Raw genomic sequence first — 21194 nt, 5'->3', positions numbered from 1 at the left:
AGTCTGAGACCAGCCTGGCCAATATGGTGAAACCTCGTCTCTACTAAAAATACAAAAGTTAGCCTGGTGTGGTGGCATGCACCTGTAGTCCCAGCCACCTGGGAGGCTGAGGCAGGAGAATCACTTGAACCCAGGAGGCGGAGGTTGCAGTGAGCCGAGATCACACCACTGCACTCCAGCCTGGGCAACAGAGCGAGACTCCATCTCAAAAAAAAAAAAAAATAAATAAAATAAATTTTTTTCTTTAATAATAAATTAATCTTAACCTTCTGTCACATTTTTTCCATTATCTACTTTTAAATTTTTTAAAGTTTTGACTCTTTTGTAATAACATTTAACTTAATATGCAAAGACAAAAAACAAAAAAATCACACTGGAAAATGGAAAGGTGTGCCTGTGAATTCCTTATGCAGGGTGTTATTGACAAGCACTGGCTCAGGCACCAGATGTTCTGGGATTTGCCACCTGTGCGCCTCAGAGAAGCCAACTGACCCCTCAAGGCTGCAGGGAAATAGCGGTAAAAACACCTCGGAAGCTGTCACTTGGATTAAATGAGGCGTCCTTCAGACCATATTTCTTCCAGTTCCTGGCACACAGTACTCTATAAATATTGACATATGTATCAGCAATATAATAATATGAATTATAACTCTGTTTTGGTTATTCTTTCTTCTCCTCATTTCAATTCTATAGCTGTGTTCAGAGAACAGAAGTTGAAAAGGGAATATAAATCTCAGCCAACTCTCCGCAGCTACCCATGCTCCCCAGCGTCCTCCCTCACTGAGGGGACGTAAGAGAAACACAAACTTTAGCATCAACCTGGGGAACAGACCTGGCTCTTCTGTGACATCATATACAGAGAATGAATCAAGGCACAAAGCACAAAACTGTCCTGGTTTAGGAAACTCTTGGAAGGTCTCTTATCTTTCCACAAACTCACTCGCTCTGTCTAAAGGAGGATTCAGTTGGAATCACACCCAAGATTGCATCATTTTCTCTTGCTCACTGCCAGGTGTTTCGTGACAGCCCCCTAATGTGAATCAATAACCCTGTCTGTGGAAGGCCCGGAAGGCAGCAAACGTTCCCAAGGAGGGTGGATGTGACCAGAGAGACCATCCCTGAAAACCACTAAGGAGCCTCTGGAAACCTCTATCCAACCTTGAACTGAGCAGGATGGTGCTTCCTGGAAATCCCTTTTTGTTGCTCTATGTATCTACAATACTGGGTCTGCCTGTAGCACTCCAGAAAGAAGGATAAGGGTTGAGGACCCTTCTTGGGCTGCTATTGGATCTGTGCTATGCTTGGACTGTTTGAGTTTGAGCTCTTTTTGTCTCTAAGGCCAGAGCCCTGAGTAGAATGCAATGCAATTTGCAACTGTGTCCCCAAAGCTGACTGTGCAAATTCTGCAGTTTGCACATTTATGAGGATGGACCTTTGTGTCTGTGGCTGTGATTTCAGTGAGGCCCTTGTTTTGCTACTGCCAAGTCAGTCTGTTACTGCTGGACAACAGGCAGCACACACAAGGCTACCAGCCAACCTGGACCTGAAAACCACTAAGGCCACAGGGTCCAGTATAGGCCAAGTGACCCAAACACAACTCCCTTCCCCCCTAGACCTTGAAAGGAGAGAGTGCGGAAGCCAACACCTGCTGGAGAGACGGGGCCAGCATGGAGGTTCCTACCTGTGGGCTTAGAAGCCAGGGGTGAAGGTGGGAACCTGCTGGAGTTGGTGGAAGACAGTCTGGGCCGACGCCTTCTGAAAAAGCTCCTCAGCAGCCCACACTTGAGAGATTCTACAAGGGTGGTTTTCCCGGATCCCGAGTGGCCAAACAGCTTGAGCTTAATTCTTGGCTGCAGGTTCTGTGTGGGTCGGAGCTGCTGGATGAAGAGTCCTCGGTGCGTATCCTGAGCATGGATGAGAAAGAGCCAGTGAGTGACAGAAAAAGAGGCAAATAATGATTCTCAAGATTCCTAATCCCCGGTGTGCAGTTTTTACCCATGCTGAAGATATGTTTCTTTTTTTCTTTTTTGAGACGGAGTTTCACTCTTGTTGCCCAGACTGGAGTGCAATGGCACGATCTCAGCTCACCGCAACCTCTGCCTTCTGGGTTCAAGCGATTCTCCTGCCTCAGCCTCCCGAGTAGCTGGGATTACAGGCATGAGCCACCATGCCCAGCTAATTTTGTGTTTTTAGTAGAGACAGGGTTTTTCCATGTTGGTTAGGCTGGTCTCGAACTCCCGACCTCAGGTGATCCGCCCGCCTTGGCCTCCCAAAGTGCTGGGATTACAGGTGTGAGCCACCGTGCCTGGCGGTATGTTTATTTCTATCTCCAATGAAAACTTTGAAAATTCAGGTAAAATTCACATAACATCAAAGTCACCATTTTCAACTGTGAAATTCAGAGGCTTTTAGTGTATTTTCAGTGCTGCAGGACCATCACTGCTGTCTCCTTCCAGAACATTTGTGTCACCCCCAAAAGGAAGCTCTGTACCCGTGAGCAGTCACTTGCCATTCATTCCCCTCTTTGCTCAGCCCCTGGCAACCATAGAGATGTTTTCTGTCTCTAAGAATCTGCCTATTTCCATTGCATTTTGATGCATGACAAGTTGGATGGAGCAACTGTGAAGCCTTCAATGTGTGTGTGTGTGTGTGCGCGTGTGTGTGTGTGTGACCCCCACACTTTATTTAGAAATTTATCAGAAAAACATAATTGGATGGCCCAAATGTCCACTTCATAACTGTAGGTCTGGAATAGGAACCTTATCTTACTGTTAAATAGCTACTAGCACTTTTGATTTAACTTCATGGCAATGTCACCTGTATGTGAGTATTAAAAATATCTACCATCACTTTTGGTTTCAACCACATGACAACCTAAGAAGCCTAGGAACAGACCTACAACAAATCGGGTGCGGTGGCTCACGCCTGTAATCCCAGCACTTTGGGAGGCTGAGGCACATGGATCACCAGGGTCAGGAGATGGAGACCATCCTGGCTAACATGGTGAAACCCCGTCTCTACCGAAAATACAAAAAATTAGCCGGGCGTGGTGGCGGGAGCCTGTAGTCCCAGCTACTCGGGAGGCTGAGGCAGGAGAATGGTGTGAACCTCGGAGGTGGAGCTTGCAGTGAGCGGAGATCACGCCACTGCACTCCAGCCTGGGTGACAAAGTGAGACTCCGTCTCAAAAGAAAAATAAATAAATAAATAAATAAATAAATTTTAAAATATTAATATATTACTAAACACATAAAATAAAAAGGATAATCAAAAATTTACCCTAATCAATTAAGAGGCTGAAAGAAAATGGAAAGCCAGGAGATGAAGAAAGGTAGAAGCCTTCGATTTAATCATGAAATAGGATCAGCCCTGTCTGACCAGCAAGAGCATCTGTCCCTCTCTGTGTGGAGGTGTCTGGATCCTTTAGGGCAGTAATGGGACAAGAGGATGAGAGAAGGGGCACTCCAACGTACAAGCTCCATGCTGCAGAGGGGGCTGGGAACACAATATCCTCATTACTTTCTTCTTTTTCCATCTGATATGGAGAAGCAGGAGGCTCCACAGAATGAAATAGTTCGCTACTCACTCACTCCTTCATTCATCAACCAGCATTTAGGGAGGCCCTCCAACCCCATGCTAAGCGCAGTGCGGACAACAGGAAAATCTAGATTCAGCCCAGATCCATGGTCTTGGGGAGATACAGACATGTGAACAATTTCACATCTAATACCAAGTAAGAGCTTTTAACAGGATAGTGTAGGCAAGGCGTTCAGTGCACCCAAGGGAACCTGCTCAAGGTTTACGTGATGTGGCTCTGACCATGCCACCCTGGTGTCACACCCCCTCACAGGCCACCATCCCTTCCCACCACTCCTGCCCTGCTCCCTAACAAGGACCTGTTTGGAGCCGTGAGGTGCAGCCTGAAGCCTCTTCCTCACCCTTACCCAGGAGGACCCCCTCTGCTTTAACCTGCTTTGTGGGTTCCCACAAACCCACAAAACCTGTCTTGCCTGCCATCTCCTCCTGGTTGCTTCTTCCCACCATGTGTGGCTCTCCATGGTGACCCCCGACCTGTAATTATGGGGTGCTCTCCCTTCTAGACCAGGAGCCCATCTGCGGGGACAGACGGAATTCCCAGCCCTGGCAGGTGTAGAATCGCCATAAACCAGTGTCATATAAATGACAGAACTCAGAGGGACCCACGCAAGGGCACCTCCATGTGATCTACACCTGGCGGGACCATTCCTTCAGTTCTAAATCCTGGGAGGCGCTCACTTACTTCTGATCTCCTGATCTCTTCCAGCAGCAAAAGCCAGTGTTACTTTTGCTGTTATAACTGCATTGCTACAATCTCATACATAACTCTCCTGAAGGCTTTGATTTTCCTATTTCCATTTGCAATTCCTAAGCCAGGACCAGACTTCCTCAACAGGAACTATACTGACCCCTGGTGGGCACTGTGGAAATCTGAGGTGGCATTTTAGTTCCCACAATGTTGAGGGGATATTCCTGCAGCCAGACGCTGGGTGTCCAGACACCCTGTAACAAAATGCCCCTCACAGCGAAGAATTCTCCTGGGTCCCCTGACTTCTGAGCATCTGATGAGCATTTATATAGGGGAAAAGCCTGTTTACAATCATCTGAGCTGAGAACTTAACTACATTTTACACATCATCCACAGGGTTTTGGGGGCAGTATTTAATATATACTGAGTTATCCACGAATGCTGCTATTTTATAGATTGGCAAATAACTACACTTTGCTTTTTTCCTTTTATCTTTGCTGAGTGCTGTCTCCGATTTCTGGACATCAGCTCAGCACGCTGCTGTGGTGCTGGAGCTGCCATCCCAGCCCTCCAGTGTCCGTGGGCGTCTGTGGGGGTTGCACTCAGTGATCCTGTGCGTGAGTGCAGGGACCTGCTGGGTTTCCCAGCCTCCTCCTGCCTGTGTCCTAGCACATGCATGCTGACATCCAGCATATTTCACTATGCGCATGCTCCCACAAGGTCTGTGTTATATTACAGTTAGGGCATGCTACTGATCTTTTGAAACTATCTGTGTAGTAGGTGCGTCCCTGTCTATAAATTCTACAAGGGAGCGTGACACAAGGTGTGTTGTAAAATGCTGGGGCAGCTGGGGTGGAGGCCACGGCACCAAACCATGATCTGTAGAACACGAGGTGGTCTGTACTCTGGTGTTTTCTTCTGACCTCAAATCCCAACAGGTTCAGAGACAGAGCACCAAAGGGAAAGGAAAGGACTGGGGGTCTTGATAGCAATGTCCCTGACTGATTACCTGAATCAGCAAAAAAGCTGGACAGATTCTATTATGAGGAGTTACTCATTGGGGGTGGCACCTGTCAGGCTGGAAGGAATGGGGCTCTGAATTGTCCCCAGCGCCACGTGCACCAGGTGCGCCCATGCTGCCGCGCTGCCACCGACCCTGGAGCAATTCCACCTCCCAGCCTACTCCAGCCTTCCGCAGCAGCCCTGGGTCTTCCTTGTGAGTCCAAGGCTATACCCACACCATGCCATGCATGAGCACCTGAGCTGCGTCCACTGTGCTGAGCAGTGGTCACCTTCCATGGTGAGCATCCCACAGGGTAGATGCAAACTTCCCCATCTATTCCCTGAACGCAGCTCCTGCCACACAGAGATTCTTGGTACCGGCCCGAGTCTGCTTCATCTGAGACCAGGGGAAGGCAGAAAACTGCTCCTGGTTAAATCCAGTCACTGGATCCCGGGTGCCCCCATTTTGGTAAAGAAACTGTGCCATGAATCTGCCTGCAGCTCTTTCTTCCTGTTTTGTGCCTGTGGATCTTGACACTTTGAGCTTCAGCACACACGTCTGTCCTGTCTGCAGGAATGGGGCAAGCTCATTCCTTCTGCAGGAATCCCACAGGCCCTTCCACTCTCAGGAGACTCGAACCATGGTCAACTACAGACACCGCTGCCCCTGTGAGAGGCTTCTAGAAGCGACTGAACCTGCAGGCTGACTTGCTCCTGTGTATGAGGGCAAGCTATGCCTGTGACTTCCCTGTACTGACAGTCCAGCTCACTCCTTCAAATTCCACGCAGGGCAATGCTGGTTCAGAAGCTCCTGGCAATCTGCCTGTTTCATGGGCCAGCACAATAAATGGAGAAGGAGGGAGGAGGCAGCAGGAGGAGTTGAGACAGATGTGTTTCCTGTCTGCAGCAGTAACTTCCACGTGCACGGCGCCTTCCAGCTCATGCTATGCCTTCACTCACATTCCCTATGAAAACCTCCAAGGAACCTTTGTGGTTAATGCCATCCTCCTCCCTTTCGGATGAGGAAATTGAGGCTTGGAGAGGCCAAGGCACTTGCCCAAGGTGACAGAGCAAAGCCAGAACTCACTACCAGGTCTTCCTCCCACTGCTGGACACTGAAAGGGAGGTGGCAGGTTCCTCAGAAGCAGAGGAGACAGGAACAGACAGGGATGTGCACATTGAAGGTGAACCCCACAGCACTGAGGACCATCCAAGGAGGGCCCCTCACAGTGCATCCCACTCGGAAGGCACTTCCTGAATAGGGCACCCTTTGGAGTGAAATATTGGAGTGCACCTGTCCTTGGTGCACCCCCTTCCCCTCCACCAGGAGCTGTCAGCCTTGGCCAAGATGTGCCCACTCACCCTTCACCAAGTCTTTGGGAAGAGAGGCCAGGAAACTGCGCTGATCTAGACTTACAGAATTCACCATCATCTTGAAAGGCAAAGAAAAGCAAAATATCCTCGGGTATTTCCCTTCACAAGAAAATCTCAGCTGATCCTGGCAGATGACCCCTCGTCCTGCTCACTAAGAACCTTGGGGAATCTAAGCACATCCGAATATATCTCCCTCATTGGTGGAGGCACGTTTTCACGTTTCACTACCAGATGGCGGGTAGGGACGGGTTGTGGCGCAGAGGCCTCTCCCTGGGAAAGCAGCTTTCATCCACGTAATGATCTATCTCCAACTCAGAGAGGGCTCCAGGCCAGGTCTAGAAGGTGCTAGGAAGACTGATTTATTTGGAGGGGGAGTTCAGTAGTCCTTACACAGTGTGTGTTTAACACAAGTTACAAGACAACCCTGAGACCTGGCTGGCACGAAGCCCAGGCTGGTCGGGCCCTCCCTGGCTGGGCCAGGTGGGAGCCATGTGCAGCCAACACCTCTAGGGGAGAGGAGAGGGGACTATGGTGCCACCGACATTTTTGGCTCATGGTTTGAAGTGCTCTCCAGTGTGTGTCCCCTAGGTCTGTGGGTGTGGCTGGAGGGTACTCAGGAGACCTGGGGCATCCAGGGTGTGGGCAAGACCTCCTGCAGTCAGGGCGAGACCAGGCTGGGGAGAGGAGGAGGCAGAACCGAACTCCAAGGAGCGCAGAATTCTGACTCAGAACCTTCCAGGTGGTCATAAGGGTGTGTGTGTGTGTGTGTGTGTGTGTGTGTGTGTGTGTGTGTGTGTGTAGGGTAGAATGTATTTACCTGTATTAGCTCTAATCACATCCTTTAAATATTTACACAGGAGTAGGAGCCTCCCTGGTATTCTTGCCCAAGGCTCACTAAGTAATAGAGCCTGGACAGCCCCAGTCCAAGCACCGTCACATCTCCCCTGGCTGCCAAGATCACCTCCTATCAGGTCCCTCTGCTCCCCATCCTGACCCTGAGGCTCCAGTCTGAGCAGCCGGGAGAATTCCTAAACCTAAGGCAGATCTCACACCTGCCTGCACTTGGCCCAAACCCAAACTCCTCACCCGCTGGGTAAGGTCTATAGAGCTGTGCCGCCTCTCGGGTCATGTCGGGCATTGTTCTCTGCCTGCACACCCAGGTACATCCTCTGACCCTAGCCCAGTTACCCTCCTTCTTTGTTGTTTTATGCTTGAGCTCCTCCAACCCTTCACTACCCGGCCCCTTGCACTCCCTATTCCTCTGTCTTCCTCCAGCCCTTCCTCGGGCTGCTTCCTTCTTCTTGCCCTTCAGGTCTTGGTTTCAGTGTCACATCAGAGAGGTCCTCATCAGCCAGGTGAAAGTAGACTCCACCATCCTCTCATCTCACTTCATCCTGTTTCAATTCCCTGCATGGCACCTACCCCAGGAGGCAGCAACCCTTTCTGTAGAGGGCCAGATGGTCTCTGTGGCAACTCAACTCTGCCATGTAGGAACACCAGGCACAGACAAGAGTGTGTAGCTGTGTCTCAATAAAACTTTATTTACAGAAGCAGGCAGTGGGTTGTAGGCCATTGTTTGCCACCCCTTGACCTGACTTACACATTTTTCTTATCGGTTTCTTGGCTGGGTTCTGCCGATTTTGTTCACTGTGGTCTCTGCAGTGCCTAGAACAGCTCTTACAGTAGACACTGGAAATATCTTTTCAGTGTGTGAGTGAATGAATGTTATTTGGTAACTGTGTTGCTCTTTGAAGCCCTGGTAAATCTCCTAGTTTCTACTTTTCTTTCTTCCAGTACTGTTTTCTCCCTAGCAACTTAGCTTTCACTTTCTCATCAGACAAGAAGACTAAACATTAGCAAGCTGATGGGGAAGACCATTCACGGTCTGGGAAGGCCAGATAAGAGCACTGAGAGGCGATGTGGCCTTGCCCATGTGGCAGGGTGCAGTGAGACTGCACGGATGGTGCAGCAACTTTTAATTACGCAAATGCAGTTTACAGGTGGTGAATTTTTCAATCTGGGCAACTCCCCAATTGTTTTCATTTTTCAAAATATTCCTGGCCACCTTTCTTCACTGTTGGGTCTTAGGTTTAGTAAAAGCAAACTACTTTTTTTTTTTTTTTTTTTTTTTTTGAGACAGAGTCTTACTCTGTCACCCAGGCTGGAATGCAGTGGCATGATCTCAGTGCACTGCAACCTCCACCTCCTGGGTTCAAGCGATTCTACTGCCTCAGCCTCCCGAGTAGCTGGGACTACAGGCACACACCACCATCTCTGGCTAATTTATTTTAATTTTAATTTTAATTTTTTTTGTAGAGACGGGGTTTCACCATGTTGGCCAGGCTGGTTTTCAACTACTGACCTCAGGTGATCTGCCTGCCTCAGCCTCCCAAAGTGCTGGGATTACAGGCGTGAGCCACCGCACCCAGCCTACTTTTAATTTCAGGCTTACGGAAAATCTGATTAGAAGGATGGCCAAACAAAATAAAAATAAGCCAACTCCTCAACCCCCTTGAAATTCTTATTTTAAAATCAGATAAGAATGGAACTTGCAGTGATTATAGTAAAAATGGGTGCTGATATAAAAATCTAGATCAACCCCTTTCCCATAGAAGGGGTCCCTCCTTTCTTCTAGAAGGAGAACTGGGTTTGGCTGAGCAACAACACAGTCCTCAGGCAGGTTTGGACAGCTGCCCAGGGCTCTGTTACTGACTGAGCGCAAGGAAGTAGAAGGTACAACTTCCCTCTGTGATAAGGTGGTACCTACAGCCAAGCGCGGGCTCTCAGGGACCCCCAAAGCAATGATGAACCTATCAACAACCTTTGGTAGGGAGAAGCAGACTTCATCTCTAGCATTTGCTGATTCCTGTGGTGCAAATGCTCCCTCCCTGGCTGATTTCAAGACTCCCATGTGATGTCACCAGGTTGGGAAAACAAGCTCGGCGCTCAGGGACAGCACCAGAGGCTCCTGCACACTACTGCCCGAGTTCACTTAATGTGGAGGTGCGTCAGAGTCGATCCCATGCAGCTCAGCCCTGCCCCAGGTTCCTTCTTCCCCAAGAGCTGTAGCCTTGGCCTCAGCAGTCTTCAGTCTCCTGCCCCTTGAACTCTCCAGTGATCAAAACAGCCAGTCCCTCTCCCCTGCACATCTTCCACTGCTGCGGGCAAACAGGATGATTTTGGTTCTATTTCCAGATGCCAAATCCCATTGCTTCCCTAGCAAATATAGTTTAAAGACACATTGCTAGGCAATGTCAACTGATGAAAGCTGACAGCGTAGATAGAAAGTATTTCTTTTGCTCAATTGGCCCATTTGGAAACCAAATAAAATGGCAGGCAATGTAGGGCCACCATCCTCAGCTGTCCCAGATACAGACCTCTCCCCAGGACAGCGCTTTGGATCAACCTGCAGTGGTTCTTGCAGAGTGTGGTAGCACCCTAGGGGTTGAGAGAAAATGTGTGGAGGGATTCTTTTGGTTTTCACAATATGGCTGTAGGGAATGCTAGCATGTTAGATGCTTGGAGGCCAGGGACAAGAAACATCCTGCAAGGACAGGGCCTCCCAGTCACCCAAACTGCCAACAGCACCCAGTGAGAAACACTGGGGAATATCAAGGAGAAATGACATGGAAAGGAAAATGGTCCTAAGATGCTCTGCAGGGTGAATGACTTCTTCTTTCCCTTCCCCTCCCCGATCATGTACCCGATTGTCTCCTCCTCCAGGTGACCCAAGTTAGAACTGCAGGTCAGTCCCCTTCCTGGTGTCCTCCACAGGCATTGCCTGCTTCTGGGCTCCCCACAATCCTCAGCGATGCATTCTCCAAGGAAGCTGCCGCGACAGCTCAGTCATTTCCAATAACCAAATTCCAGTACCGGGTGTGCCCAGGTGCCAAGCAGTTACTTGCATGGGGATTTATATTCATACACAAGGAAGAAAGACCGCAATTAGCAATGCTTGGCAGACAACTCCTCCCATTATGGCTAATCAGGGGCTAACGTCAAGAGCCCACTGAGGGATGATGAAGACAAACAAATTCCAGGGACTCCTTGAACACAGCATCTAGAAGATTCTGAGGGAATTAGAACCCTGGGCCTCCCCATGGGAAGGAGATCCCTGTGCACTACAAAGCAGGTGGCTCAGCACAGGTACAGCAGCCAGTGTGGAAAGGACATATCCCATCAGGCCAGGAATCTGCCCTGGAGCCCCCCGAGCCCATTGATTAAAAGCAGATCACAGGTATTTCCAGGTCAGGTCAGGACCTCAGGTCTGCACTGATTAGTATGTTGCTCACCTCTTTGAATCCAGGTTTCCTGCAGCAACATTCCCCTCTGTAAACCTTTACAAACTGTGTGTTGTAAAATCACAGTGCCCACCACACACACTGAGCGCTCAATGGTGGCTGTCATCACAAATGACACTCAGGGTGCCCAGCCACAGGGGCCACTGCTGCACCTCACAGCTGTTCCAGAGTGGTCTGCGGGGTTCCAACAATAACAGGAAACACGTGGTGCTTACTGTGTGCAGGCAGTGTGCAAGGGACATCATCTACATCGACCCATCCAACCCTTATCACGGTCGTGGGAGGTAGCAGCTGACTCAACCATTTGACAAGCGGGGACACTGAGGCACAGAGCTGTTGAACAGCTTGCTAGCTCACCTAGCTAGAGCGTGGCGGAGCTGGAGTTGGATCCCAGGCCATCTGACCTCCAGTCTCTGCTCTTAGGCACTACTCTGTACTTTGCTTCTACATAAAGATGAGGGGGGACTTTTCACTGGACTCTGGGTGCTAAGGGGGATGTTGTCCTTTAATTAGGGCATTAAGATGACTATTCTGACCAGGTGCAGTGGCTCACGCCTGTAATCCCACTGCTTTGGGAGGCCAGAGTAGGAAGATCACTAAAAGCCAGGAGTTAGAGACAGCCTGGGCAATGTATTGAGACATAGTTGCTAATACAAATGTTAAAAATTAGCCAGGTGGGTGTGGAGACACGTGTCTGACGTGCCTGTAGTCCTAGCTACTTGGGAGGCTGAGGCAAGAGGATCACCGGAGCCCAGGAGTTTGACGCTGCAGTGAGCCCTGACTATGCCACTGCACTCCAGCCTGAGCCGCAGAGCAAGACCTCATCTCAAAAAAAAACAAAGAAAAAAAAGGTGACTATTCTTTTCCTTGACCTCTCCTTTAGAGAAAAAGACCACAGGATAATGGTAAAACACAAAATAATATTTTGTATTTTATAGTTTTTTCTATTTTATAAACTATAAAATATATTTTATATTTTTGTATTTTGTATTTTATAGCTGTAATAGTTCACTTCCCATCTCTTTTAAAAATCTAGGCACCAAAAACAAAGGTACCAATGGATAGAAGAAAAGAAAATCCCAAACTGAGACAGGGTGAGAGCCCACCCCCAGAAACTCAGAATTCTAAATGGGAACAAGCCCCTTTCACTGAGGATTTGGAGGAAGCGCCGCAGCAAGGTGCTTTGCATCTCTACTCCTCACTATGCCAGTCATCTAAGCAGGCTGCAGATAACGGGGACAGAGGACGGGAGAAGGACCTTCCACCCACCACCGATCCGACCATCCCCGGCTAGTGCAACACTGCTCTCCCTCGGTCCTTTTTCTGAGCATTCCTTCACTGTTTTCAGACTCGTCCAAACAGTGGGTTTGCATCTCGCACAGTAAGCTACTTTTAAGTCAAAGAAGGGACCATTGCTAAGGGGGCATGGGCAGCAGAACACAGCACAGCCCACGAGACGCCTCCTCCCTCTGCATGAGGTGGGTTTCCCGAGTGACCTGACAGGGTGTTGCAGGTCACCTTGCTGCAGCTGAGTGTCCGCCTCACAATGAGCTGACTGCAGGTCCCCCTGGCCCCTGCTCTGTAATACAGTTTCTTAGATGGTAAACAGCACTCGAAGTTGAGAGTGAATGTGGTAAGCGGATTTCCAGAGGGCGGTAGTGGTGGAAGTGCTGGCGCTGTGTGAGCTGAGCCAGGGCATCATACACCTGGGAGGGCACAGCATGGGGACTCAGGGATGCAAGCCAGGTGCCAGGTGCTGCAGGTGGGTTTGCAGCCTCTCTGTGTGGAAACCTGAGCACACCTGACCAAGCAGGCTTATGCACTCGGTAAAGCTATGAGGCCTGTCGAAGAAGCCTTTCAGCCTTCCTTAATAGTGTTTCTTCCTACTAGTGGACCGTAATAGAGACCTAATAACTAACAGGAAAAAGAAATTGTGCTCTTTTAGCCTGTGCAAAAACCAGACTTCTCTTCTCCTTTCACTATCAATGGATGCTGCCTGGGTAATGGATGTACACCAGCCTAGAGGCGTGAGATTCTGTGCCCAACGTGTCTGGTTTGGCTGGTCCTCTGCTTGAAAGACAGTGAATTTTAAACTTAGGAAACTCTATGAAAAGGCTCATTCTTGAATGGTAACCACGACTCACGGGATCTCCCTTGCCCCTGCTTGTTTTGCCTGTAAACGAAAAGGTTTCCCTTGAGTTTCTAGTCCAAATTCGCTGGCATAATGACACAGTCCATAATGGTACAGAGTGAGAAATCACTGAGCCCATAATGGTAATTTATGAATTTCTGGTAAGAACAGGTGAGTAAGGCTAGGGAAATTTTACCTGACTTGTCTCTTTCTGGACTTTCCAGGACAAAGGGGAGACTGAATCGCAGCTCTCAGAGTTTATTAACATCTGCTCAGTGCCTCTGAGGCCAGTTCTCAGAATCCAAAGCAGAAGGGTGTGAAAATCAATCACCCATGATTTTACCCCTGCCAGGTCAACTCCAAGGGGTTTTAATATGCATATATGAAGTGTGTCTCTCCAAGTCTATATTCTGCATGAGGAAAGAAATTATCCCAATCTGTGGCCCCCCCCTGCCCCTGGCAAGACCACAGGACATGTATGAAAATATAAACTTCAGGGGCTGTGAAGGTTATGACCTCAGCACTTCTCCCCAGGCACTTCTCGGTCTATATGGCAAGAACTTTGTGGGATATCTGGAGCATATTTTGGACATTATCTTCTCAGCAAGCACTTAAACCAAATGAATTATCATTTTATTTCTAGATAGTTTGTGGTTTTTAAAAAAATGATTACCATTGTTATAACATTTTAAAAAAAATACAGTAATTAAATTTTTTAAAATACACTAATGTTTAAAGAAGAAAATGTTGAGTATAATAGCAAAATCGAAAAACATCACTTGTATCATTTTCTTTCTATGGATTTTAACATAGTAGAGATTATTACCTATATACAATCTGTCTTCTGCTTTGAAGCCCAGTGACCCCCCCCCACCCCAAGCAATAAACTCCTATTAGTAAAACTTCTTAAAATATTTAAAAGGCCAAAGCCATTCTATTCTATGGCTGTAGGACCCTTTACTAGACATTATCGTGGGTTATCTGTGTTTCCAATTTTTATTACTGTATTATAAATAATACTGCAGTGAACATCTTTAAGCATAAAACAGAGTTCCTAGATTAAAGGGTATGGCTATTGTGAAGTCTCCTGACACAACTGTCATGTTGTAGGCTGGAAAGGGTGCACCTGCCTTTACTTATTTTTGTCATGTTTCTTTAAGCCTCAGAGCAACAATGTTTGATAAATAGGAGCTTAACAGCCATCTTGGAGCTCAAACATAAGAAGGAAAGAGGCAGAGTCAGCGTCCTCATCCCCCGCTACTTTGTGGGAGTGGTTTATTATAGAGAGAGTGGGAGAAGGAAAACCAGGCACGGCAACTGCAAACATGCTAAATGATTTCCAAGTCCAAATAGAGAAGAAAACAGATAGGGAGCTGATGCATTTATACCGACTGACATGTAAACCACAGGACAGGGACCACTGTTCCTAAAACCTGGCTGTCTAGAGCCTCATTTTGCTCATTCTCAAATAAGGAAAAAGACTGAGACTTTTTCACATAAACACAGGTAGAGAACTTCAGACCTATAACAGAACTTCTCACCTTTCGAAGTCTTGCAAGGAGACCTGCTACGTGCTCGTGCTGTTCCGATCTAGCAAGATCTTCTGCCGTCTTTCCGTCCTGTTGGAGAAAAATGCATTAGTTTCTTTTCTCTGAAAAGGAGAGCTGTGTGTGTTCCATACGCCAATTCCGTGGGTCTGAGGCAGAAACAAGCATAGCAGGTGTGAGAAGCAAGCCAGGTGGACAAAGAGCACGTCTCGGTGTGTTTCTCTGGCTGTGCAATCCTTATTTCACTTGATTGTCCAGGACAGGAAGGTAAGACGCAGGAACAAAGCACATGTTGGTGTCTTCCTGTCCAATAGCGACACCTTTCAGGTCCACAGGTTTAATCACAACTCAACAGCCTCCTCAGCTGGCTGGTTCCTCCCTGTCCTGAACCCCTCTCTCCAATCTCCAATCAGGCAGACAGTAAAGATTCTCATCAGGTGCCAAATTCTAGTTAGTGCAAGCTACTGTGTTATAATCCTTACAGGGACAAACCCAGCCCTTGCATGATACCAGCTCCTGGTAATTACTGTGCATTTCAAAGGAAATACTTAGTTTGACAGGCAATTTTGATTGAAAGATCTTTTGGTGAACAGAAAACAAGGAAATAAGAGTCCACAGCACTTTTATGCTTGCTTTTTATTTAGAGATTTTTCATAGGCTGCAGTTTCACACTGAATAAATTTGTTTCTGTATCTACACCATGAACATACACGATGACAGCAAGTATTTATTGAACACCACCTCATAATATGTGCTCGACCCAGCTCTCAGTGCTCTCTGCAAGCCTCAGTCCTTGAAGTCACCCCTGAGAGGCAGAAGCTGTCACTGTTCCCCTGCCACTGGGGAGAAAAGGGACATGTAGGGGCTGTTCTGTTGCAGTTTTAGAGATCACTAAAAATTCAAAAGTAGAAAAGATGAAAAGCAATTTAAAAAAATGAAAATGAATGTTTTTTTTTAATAAAAAAGTAAGGATTTGGTTTATCTATCAATGTGTATCAATAACAAAGTTGCATCCTTGTAGAAGCTTAGGGATATCCGAAATCTACTTAACAGCAACCTCTCAATTCCTCAACCCAAGTCACTCCCAGAGTCATGCCTGGGGTCCCATTCAGACACTGTTGCTCAATCTTGCCAACACTGACATTTTGCACCAGGCAATTCTCTGTTGCTGGGCCTGTCTTGTGCCTCTTAGGAATTTTAGTAGCATCTCTGGTTTCTACACACTAGGTGGCAGTAGCACCCCCTAACTCCCAGTTGTGACAACCAAATAGGCATTGGCAATTGCTGGGGGAGGAGGCAAAATTGCCTTGCTGAGAACCACTGCCTTAGGCTGCCGGTTGAAGCCCAGGTGGCTGCTCCAGTGGAGGCTTGCTGTGCAGTCAGAACTGCCCGTCTCTCTGTTCCCTTAAATTCCTGAAATATCCCCCAGTGGGCAGGCCAGGGCTTCAAGCTTGCTTTGGGGGTGAATTAGGTGCCTTATCAGACACTGCATCTCCAACCAGGGATCCATGCCAAATGCTCTAGTTTTTTTGTGGACACAAGAAAAGTCCATAAAGAGAAGGGGTTCTCCATTACACTCTGGAATCACCTGTAAAACTTGAAAATATCCTGTCGCCCAGCTCCCACACAGACACTGCTGTCAGCAGTATGGGGTACATCCTGGGCTCCCAGGTTAATTCTATTATGCAGCAAGGTTTGGGAACCACTGCCCTAGTTAGAAGAAATCTGAGCCTTGACTGAAGTTTCCTGCCCCCGACACGTCTGAACAGGACGTTCCTCTTGCAGAGCTCAGACGCGCACAAAACACAGGCAGAGGCCTTTCACCGACAGGATGAACTCTCCACTGTTCAACCTCTTCAAAGTCAAGAGAACCACCATCAACAATACTTCCTCACAGCCAGGCATGGTGGCTCATGCCTGTAATCCTAGCATTTTGGGAGGCTGAGGTGGGTGGATCATCTGAGGTCAGAAGTTTGAGACCAGCCTGCCCAACATGGTGAAACCCCGTCTTTACTAAAAATACAAAAATCAGCCAGGTGTGGTGGTGCATGCCTGTAATTCCAGATACTCAGGAGGCTGAGACATAAGAATCGCTTGAACCTGGGAGGCAGAGGTTGCAGTGAGCCAAGATCGTGCCACTGCACTCCAGCCTGGGTGACAGAATGAGACTCCATCTCAAAAAAAAAAAAAACAAAAACAAAAACATATATATATATAAAATAAAAATGTTTCCTCACATTTGCACTGCACTTTACAGCTTGCAAAACATGTTGCTCTAAAGGACACTATTCAGACTTTCAACAGAAATGCCTGGCAGTGCAGGAGACAGTTTGAAGTTGGGAGAAGACCCAGTTTGAAGTCCTGAACCCACCCCTCACCGGCTATGTGGTGGGTCACTCAGCCTTCCCAAGCCTGGGTTTCCTCATCTGCAAGATGGAAAATGGCACCCTCCCTGCACAGGTTCTTGAGCAGGTGAGAGAAAACCAAATGGAAAGAACCAGCACAGTGCCAGGCACAGAAGAAGCAAGCAGTGTTGGAAATTATTCACAGAAGAGCTGAGAATTGCCCTAACTACCTGGCCTTCTGTCTGAGAGGGAAAGGGGCAGAAGTCAGATCTCTGCATTTTGGTCTTGGCTCTACTGGACACCCCGACGGAGGCTGCAAAAGCAACACTTACACTTGCTGCCCTCCTCCTTACCAACAGGGCTCATGGACTCAATGAAGTGCATGCATTGAAAAGATATAGAAAGATGGCCAAGTGTCTCAGCACTCAGCTGTCCATCATCTCAACGTGAGCCCTGGGGACCAAGTGGCTGCAGAAGGGTGAGTTGGGTCCAGAAATCACGGTGTCTCTTGTGCACCAGCAGCCCACAACACTACATTCTAGACTGTGGGCAGTGATTCCCAAGTTGGCCCCATGACATAGAAAGAAATCCATGGAAAGGTGAAAGGCCACTTCACTTATTGTGTTCAAGAAGCCGGAGCCCCACAGGCCAGCCAGTTTTAGGAGCCTGCCCTTCACAGACATGCTGCTTATTGACGTCTGGGGAAATGCTCACAGTCATGACTTCTAGTGACACGTGTAATATGCTTCGCAAAGGAACAGATGGGGTTTCAACTGGGGCAAGCATTGACAGGGAAACCTATTTGTGTATCCCCAGTGAAAAGATGATCTGAAAGAATGTGCACAGTCATTTAAACATCTTTAGATAGTGTTGGGGAAAATATGGATTTTTTGTTAACCTACAGAATTATAAGGGCTCATCTACTTAGCACTCGGTCAACAAACACTCCATGTCCTGCCTGGACTATGGTGCCATTCATTTTTTCCTTCCTTCCTTCATACTTTCATCTAGCAGGTATTTACTGAGTGCGTATTATGCACAGGGCTATGGATACAGCAGTGAATAAAACCAACAAAAGTCCCTATTTTCATGGGATCCAGAATCTAGTGGGGAGAGCCAACAAGAAACAAATAGGTGAGTAAAATACAGTAGGTCAGGTGGTGATAGGTGCTATGAAGAAAAATGGGGCAGGGGAGATGAGGGGCAGTCCTGGGGGTGGGGGAGGGATAGGATTTAAAATAGGGTGGTCCAGAAAGGCCTCCCTGAGAAGGTGAAGCTCGAGTCAAAACCTGCAGAAGGTGAGAGACCAAATCACATGGATACCTGGGGAAGAGCCACTCAGGCCCAAGAATAGCAAGTGCAAAGGCCCCCGGGCGGTGGATGGCCAGCACTTTTGAAGAACATCAAGGAAGCTCATGGGGCTGATGTGGAGGGAGACGGGAGGAGGCGGAACAGGAGATGGGGGTCAGGGAGGCAATGTCAGGGGCAGATCCTTGGGGAAGCCCCCATTTGAAGGGCTCTGATTCCCATGAGAAGTTGCTAGAGCATCTGAGCAAGGAGGATGAGATCTCACTTACGTCTGACCAGGCGGCTGCGTGGGGACCAGGCTGTGGACAGGTAAGGGTGGAAGCAGGGAGCCCACTTAGGAGGCAGCAATGAATTCCCAGTGATTCCTGCCCAAGGGCTCACTCCTGCTAGGAGAAATCCGGATACGATTCCAATAGAGCAAGGAAGGCGAAGGGACTACCAGCCCACAGGGGCAAATCACACACACCGGAGAGGCTGGAACAGAGGAGGTTTCCTGGGCTGGAGGTGAATGTTGATGGATGAGGAGGAGTGGGTGCCACGGAGTCTTCCCCGAATGTTATGGGCTGTGTGCCCACATGCCCGTAGCGGGCATTCCAAGTCTCTCTCTGAAGGCAGAGCGCCATCAGGTACCCTCAGGGCAGAAGTGGGCAGAGAGATGTGTGCCTGTGTGTGCTGATGCTGTGGGCACACTATGCGCAGGGGGTGAAGGGGGAAAGGGGAGCTCCAGGGTGAAAGAACAGCAGGTGACAACTCCATGATGGGGGAGCCGGCAGGGGCTTCCCAGGACCCAGCCACAACTGAAGGGGAGAAGAGGGGAAGGGGAGGCTGGGCAGAGGCTGCAGAGTTCACATCCTGAAGGCAGAGGAGCCCCAGGTGGAGGTGAAAGTGGAGCCCACTGAGTGGCTGGCATTTCTAGAAAGATAAACGTGGGGCTGGGATGGACTGGTCCCAAGGGGCAGGAGGCTACAGTGCAGGGGTGGGTGAAGAGTCCGACTGGTCTGGAGGAGACTAAGGTTAAGGGTGACGCCCTTAACCAGGTGGGGGCTGGAGAGGCGGGTGCTTCGTGGTCATGGAGAAGTGGGAGGAGACTTAGTAGGCTGCCGGCTAGATGCAAATAGGTGAGGAGAGAGTAAGAAGGGTTTCCATGATCCTGGGCAGAGTGACAGACAGATGCGGAAGCCCTTTGCAGAGGCTGAACACTGGGGAGGAGGAAGCACAGAACTGGAGGGAGGGACCCTGGTGTGGGGGGGCCGAGGGCCTCTGAAGGTGCTGTGTGAGGCTGGCACTCAGGGGCAAGCAGGGACCAGAGACCTGAGCATGGGCCTCAGTGTTGGACAGCTGCAAGTCTGGGGGCCAGAGAGGGCCAGGGGGATGGAGAGGGAGAAGATGGACCAGCAGGAAGCAGAGGCCTAGGGAGAAGCAGGACGCGGGGACTTTCTCAGCCCAGGCAGGATTGTCAGGGCGTGCCAAGGGTGCCCAGTCCTGGGGATATCCAGTGAAAGAGGCTTAGGGGCAGCAGCTGGGGCTTGGGTGGAAAGATAACAAGGAAGCAAAAGGAAGAGCTGGCTTCAAATCAGGGAGGGGCTCACAGTGGGCGGGAGCGGAGGCAACAGCTGGGCCAGGTTCATGGGGCCTTTGGGGTGGCTGGGAAAGTTCTATTCTTGACCTGCGTGGAATTCAAAGGTGTTTGTCTTATGGAAACCCACTAAGCTTTATATTGGTTTATGTGCTTTTTTCTATCTATGCTTTCTTTTATAGTAAGACAGTTTAGAAGGAAAGCTGTCAGGAGGTGAGTGGGGACTCTGCTGAGGGTTACGTGGAACGGAAGGCAAGACAGTGGAGGGTGCAGGAGTAGGGGAGGCAAGGACAAAGTGGGGACAGGACGTGCAGACTTGTTCAGGTCCCCCTGGCTGAGGACTCAGCGGAGAGGGAAGGTGGCAGCAGGGGGCGCTGGTGGTCAAGGGTGGTTCTGAAGGAGAGGAGGATGGAATTGCTTCTGGAGGGTAGGAGGAAGGCGTAGGTGCTGGGCCTTCCAGGAAGACCAGAGGCCCCTCCCTAGGCCTTGACTCAGCTTGAAACCTGGGGAGTAAGGATGCGCTGTGAGGGCACAGAAGGAAAGCTTTGTATAAACCAAAGAATGTGAAAAATCTCAATAATTTAAGAATACTGGAAGTCCTCGCCAGATCAACTAGGCAAGAGGAATAGAGGCATCCAAATTGGAAAAGAGGAAGTCAAATTATCCCTGTTCACTGATGATATGATTTTATATCTAGAAAACCCTGAGGATGTCACCAAAAAATTCTGAGTTAATAAATTAATTCAGTAAAATTTCAGAATACAAAATTAACATACAGAAATCATTAGAGTTCCTATATACCAATGACGATCCAGCCCCAAATCAGGAAGGCAATCCCATTTACAATAGCTACCAAAAAAAAAAAAAAAAAAAAAAAAACTAGGAATATATTTAACCAAGGAGGTGAAAGATCTCTACAAGGCAAACTAAAAAACACTAATGAAACAAATTATAGATGACACAAACAAATGGAAAAACATCCTGTGCTCACGGATGGGAAGAATTAATATTGTTAAAATGACCATACTGCCTGAAACAATCTACAGATTCAATGCAATCTCCATCAAAATACTCACCTCATTTTTCACAGAATTAGAAATAACAACTCTAAAGTTCATATGAAACCACAAAAGGTCCTAAATAGCCAAAGCAATCCTAAGCAAAAAGAGCAAAGCTGGAGACATCATATTGCCTAATTTCAAATTACACTAGATGGCTATAGCAACCAAAACAGCATGGTACCCACATAAAAACAGATAATGGAATAGAACAGAATAGGGAACCCAGAAACATATAGCCACATGCTTACAGCCAACTGTTCTCTGA

At 48.4% G+C, this 21194-nt stretch overlaps 1 protein-coding gene across 8 annotated transcripts in view; it reads right to left on the bottom strand.

Annotated features, from left to right (window-relative positions):
• The window catches only part of DAPK1 (death associated protein kinase 1), a 211407-nt gene that overhangs the window by 25327 nt on the left and 164886 nt on the right, over positions 1-21194 (bottom strand). For all 8 annotated transcript variants that reach the window (NM_001288731.2, XM_047422887.1, XM_047422886.1 and 5 more), the window contains 2 exons: positions 14634-14711; positions 1682-1904 (listed from right to left, as the gene is read on the bottom strand). In NM_001288731.2, coding sequence (NP_001275660.1) covers positions 1682-1904; positions 14634-14711 — 301 coding nt within the window. The remainder of the gene's footprint in view (positions 1-1681; positions 1905-14633; positions 14712-21194) is intronic.

The sequence above is a fragment of the Homo sapiens genome, chromosome 9 (genome assembly GCF_000001405.40).
Source record: "Homo sapiens chromosome 9, GRCh38.p14 Primary Assembly".
Taxonomy (NCBI): domain Eukaryota; kingdom Metazoa; phylum Chordata; class Mammalia; order Primates; family Hominidae; genus Homo; species Homo sapiens.
This window is presented reverse-complemented; position numbering and strand designations above follow the sequence as displayed.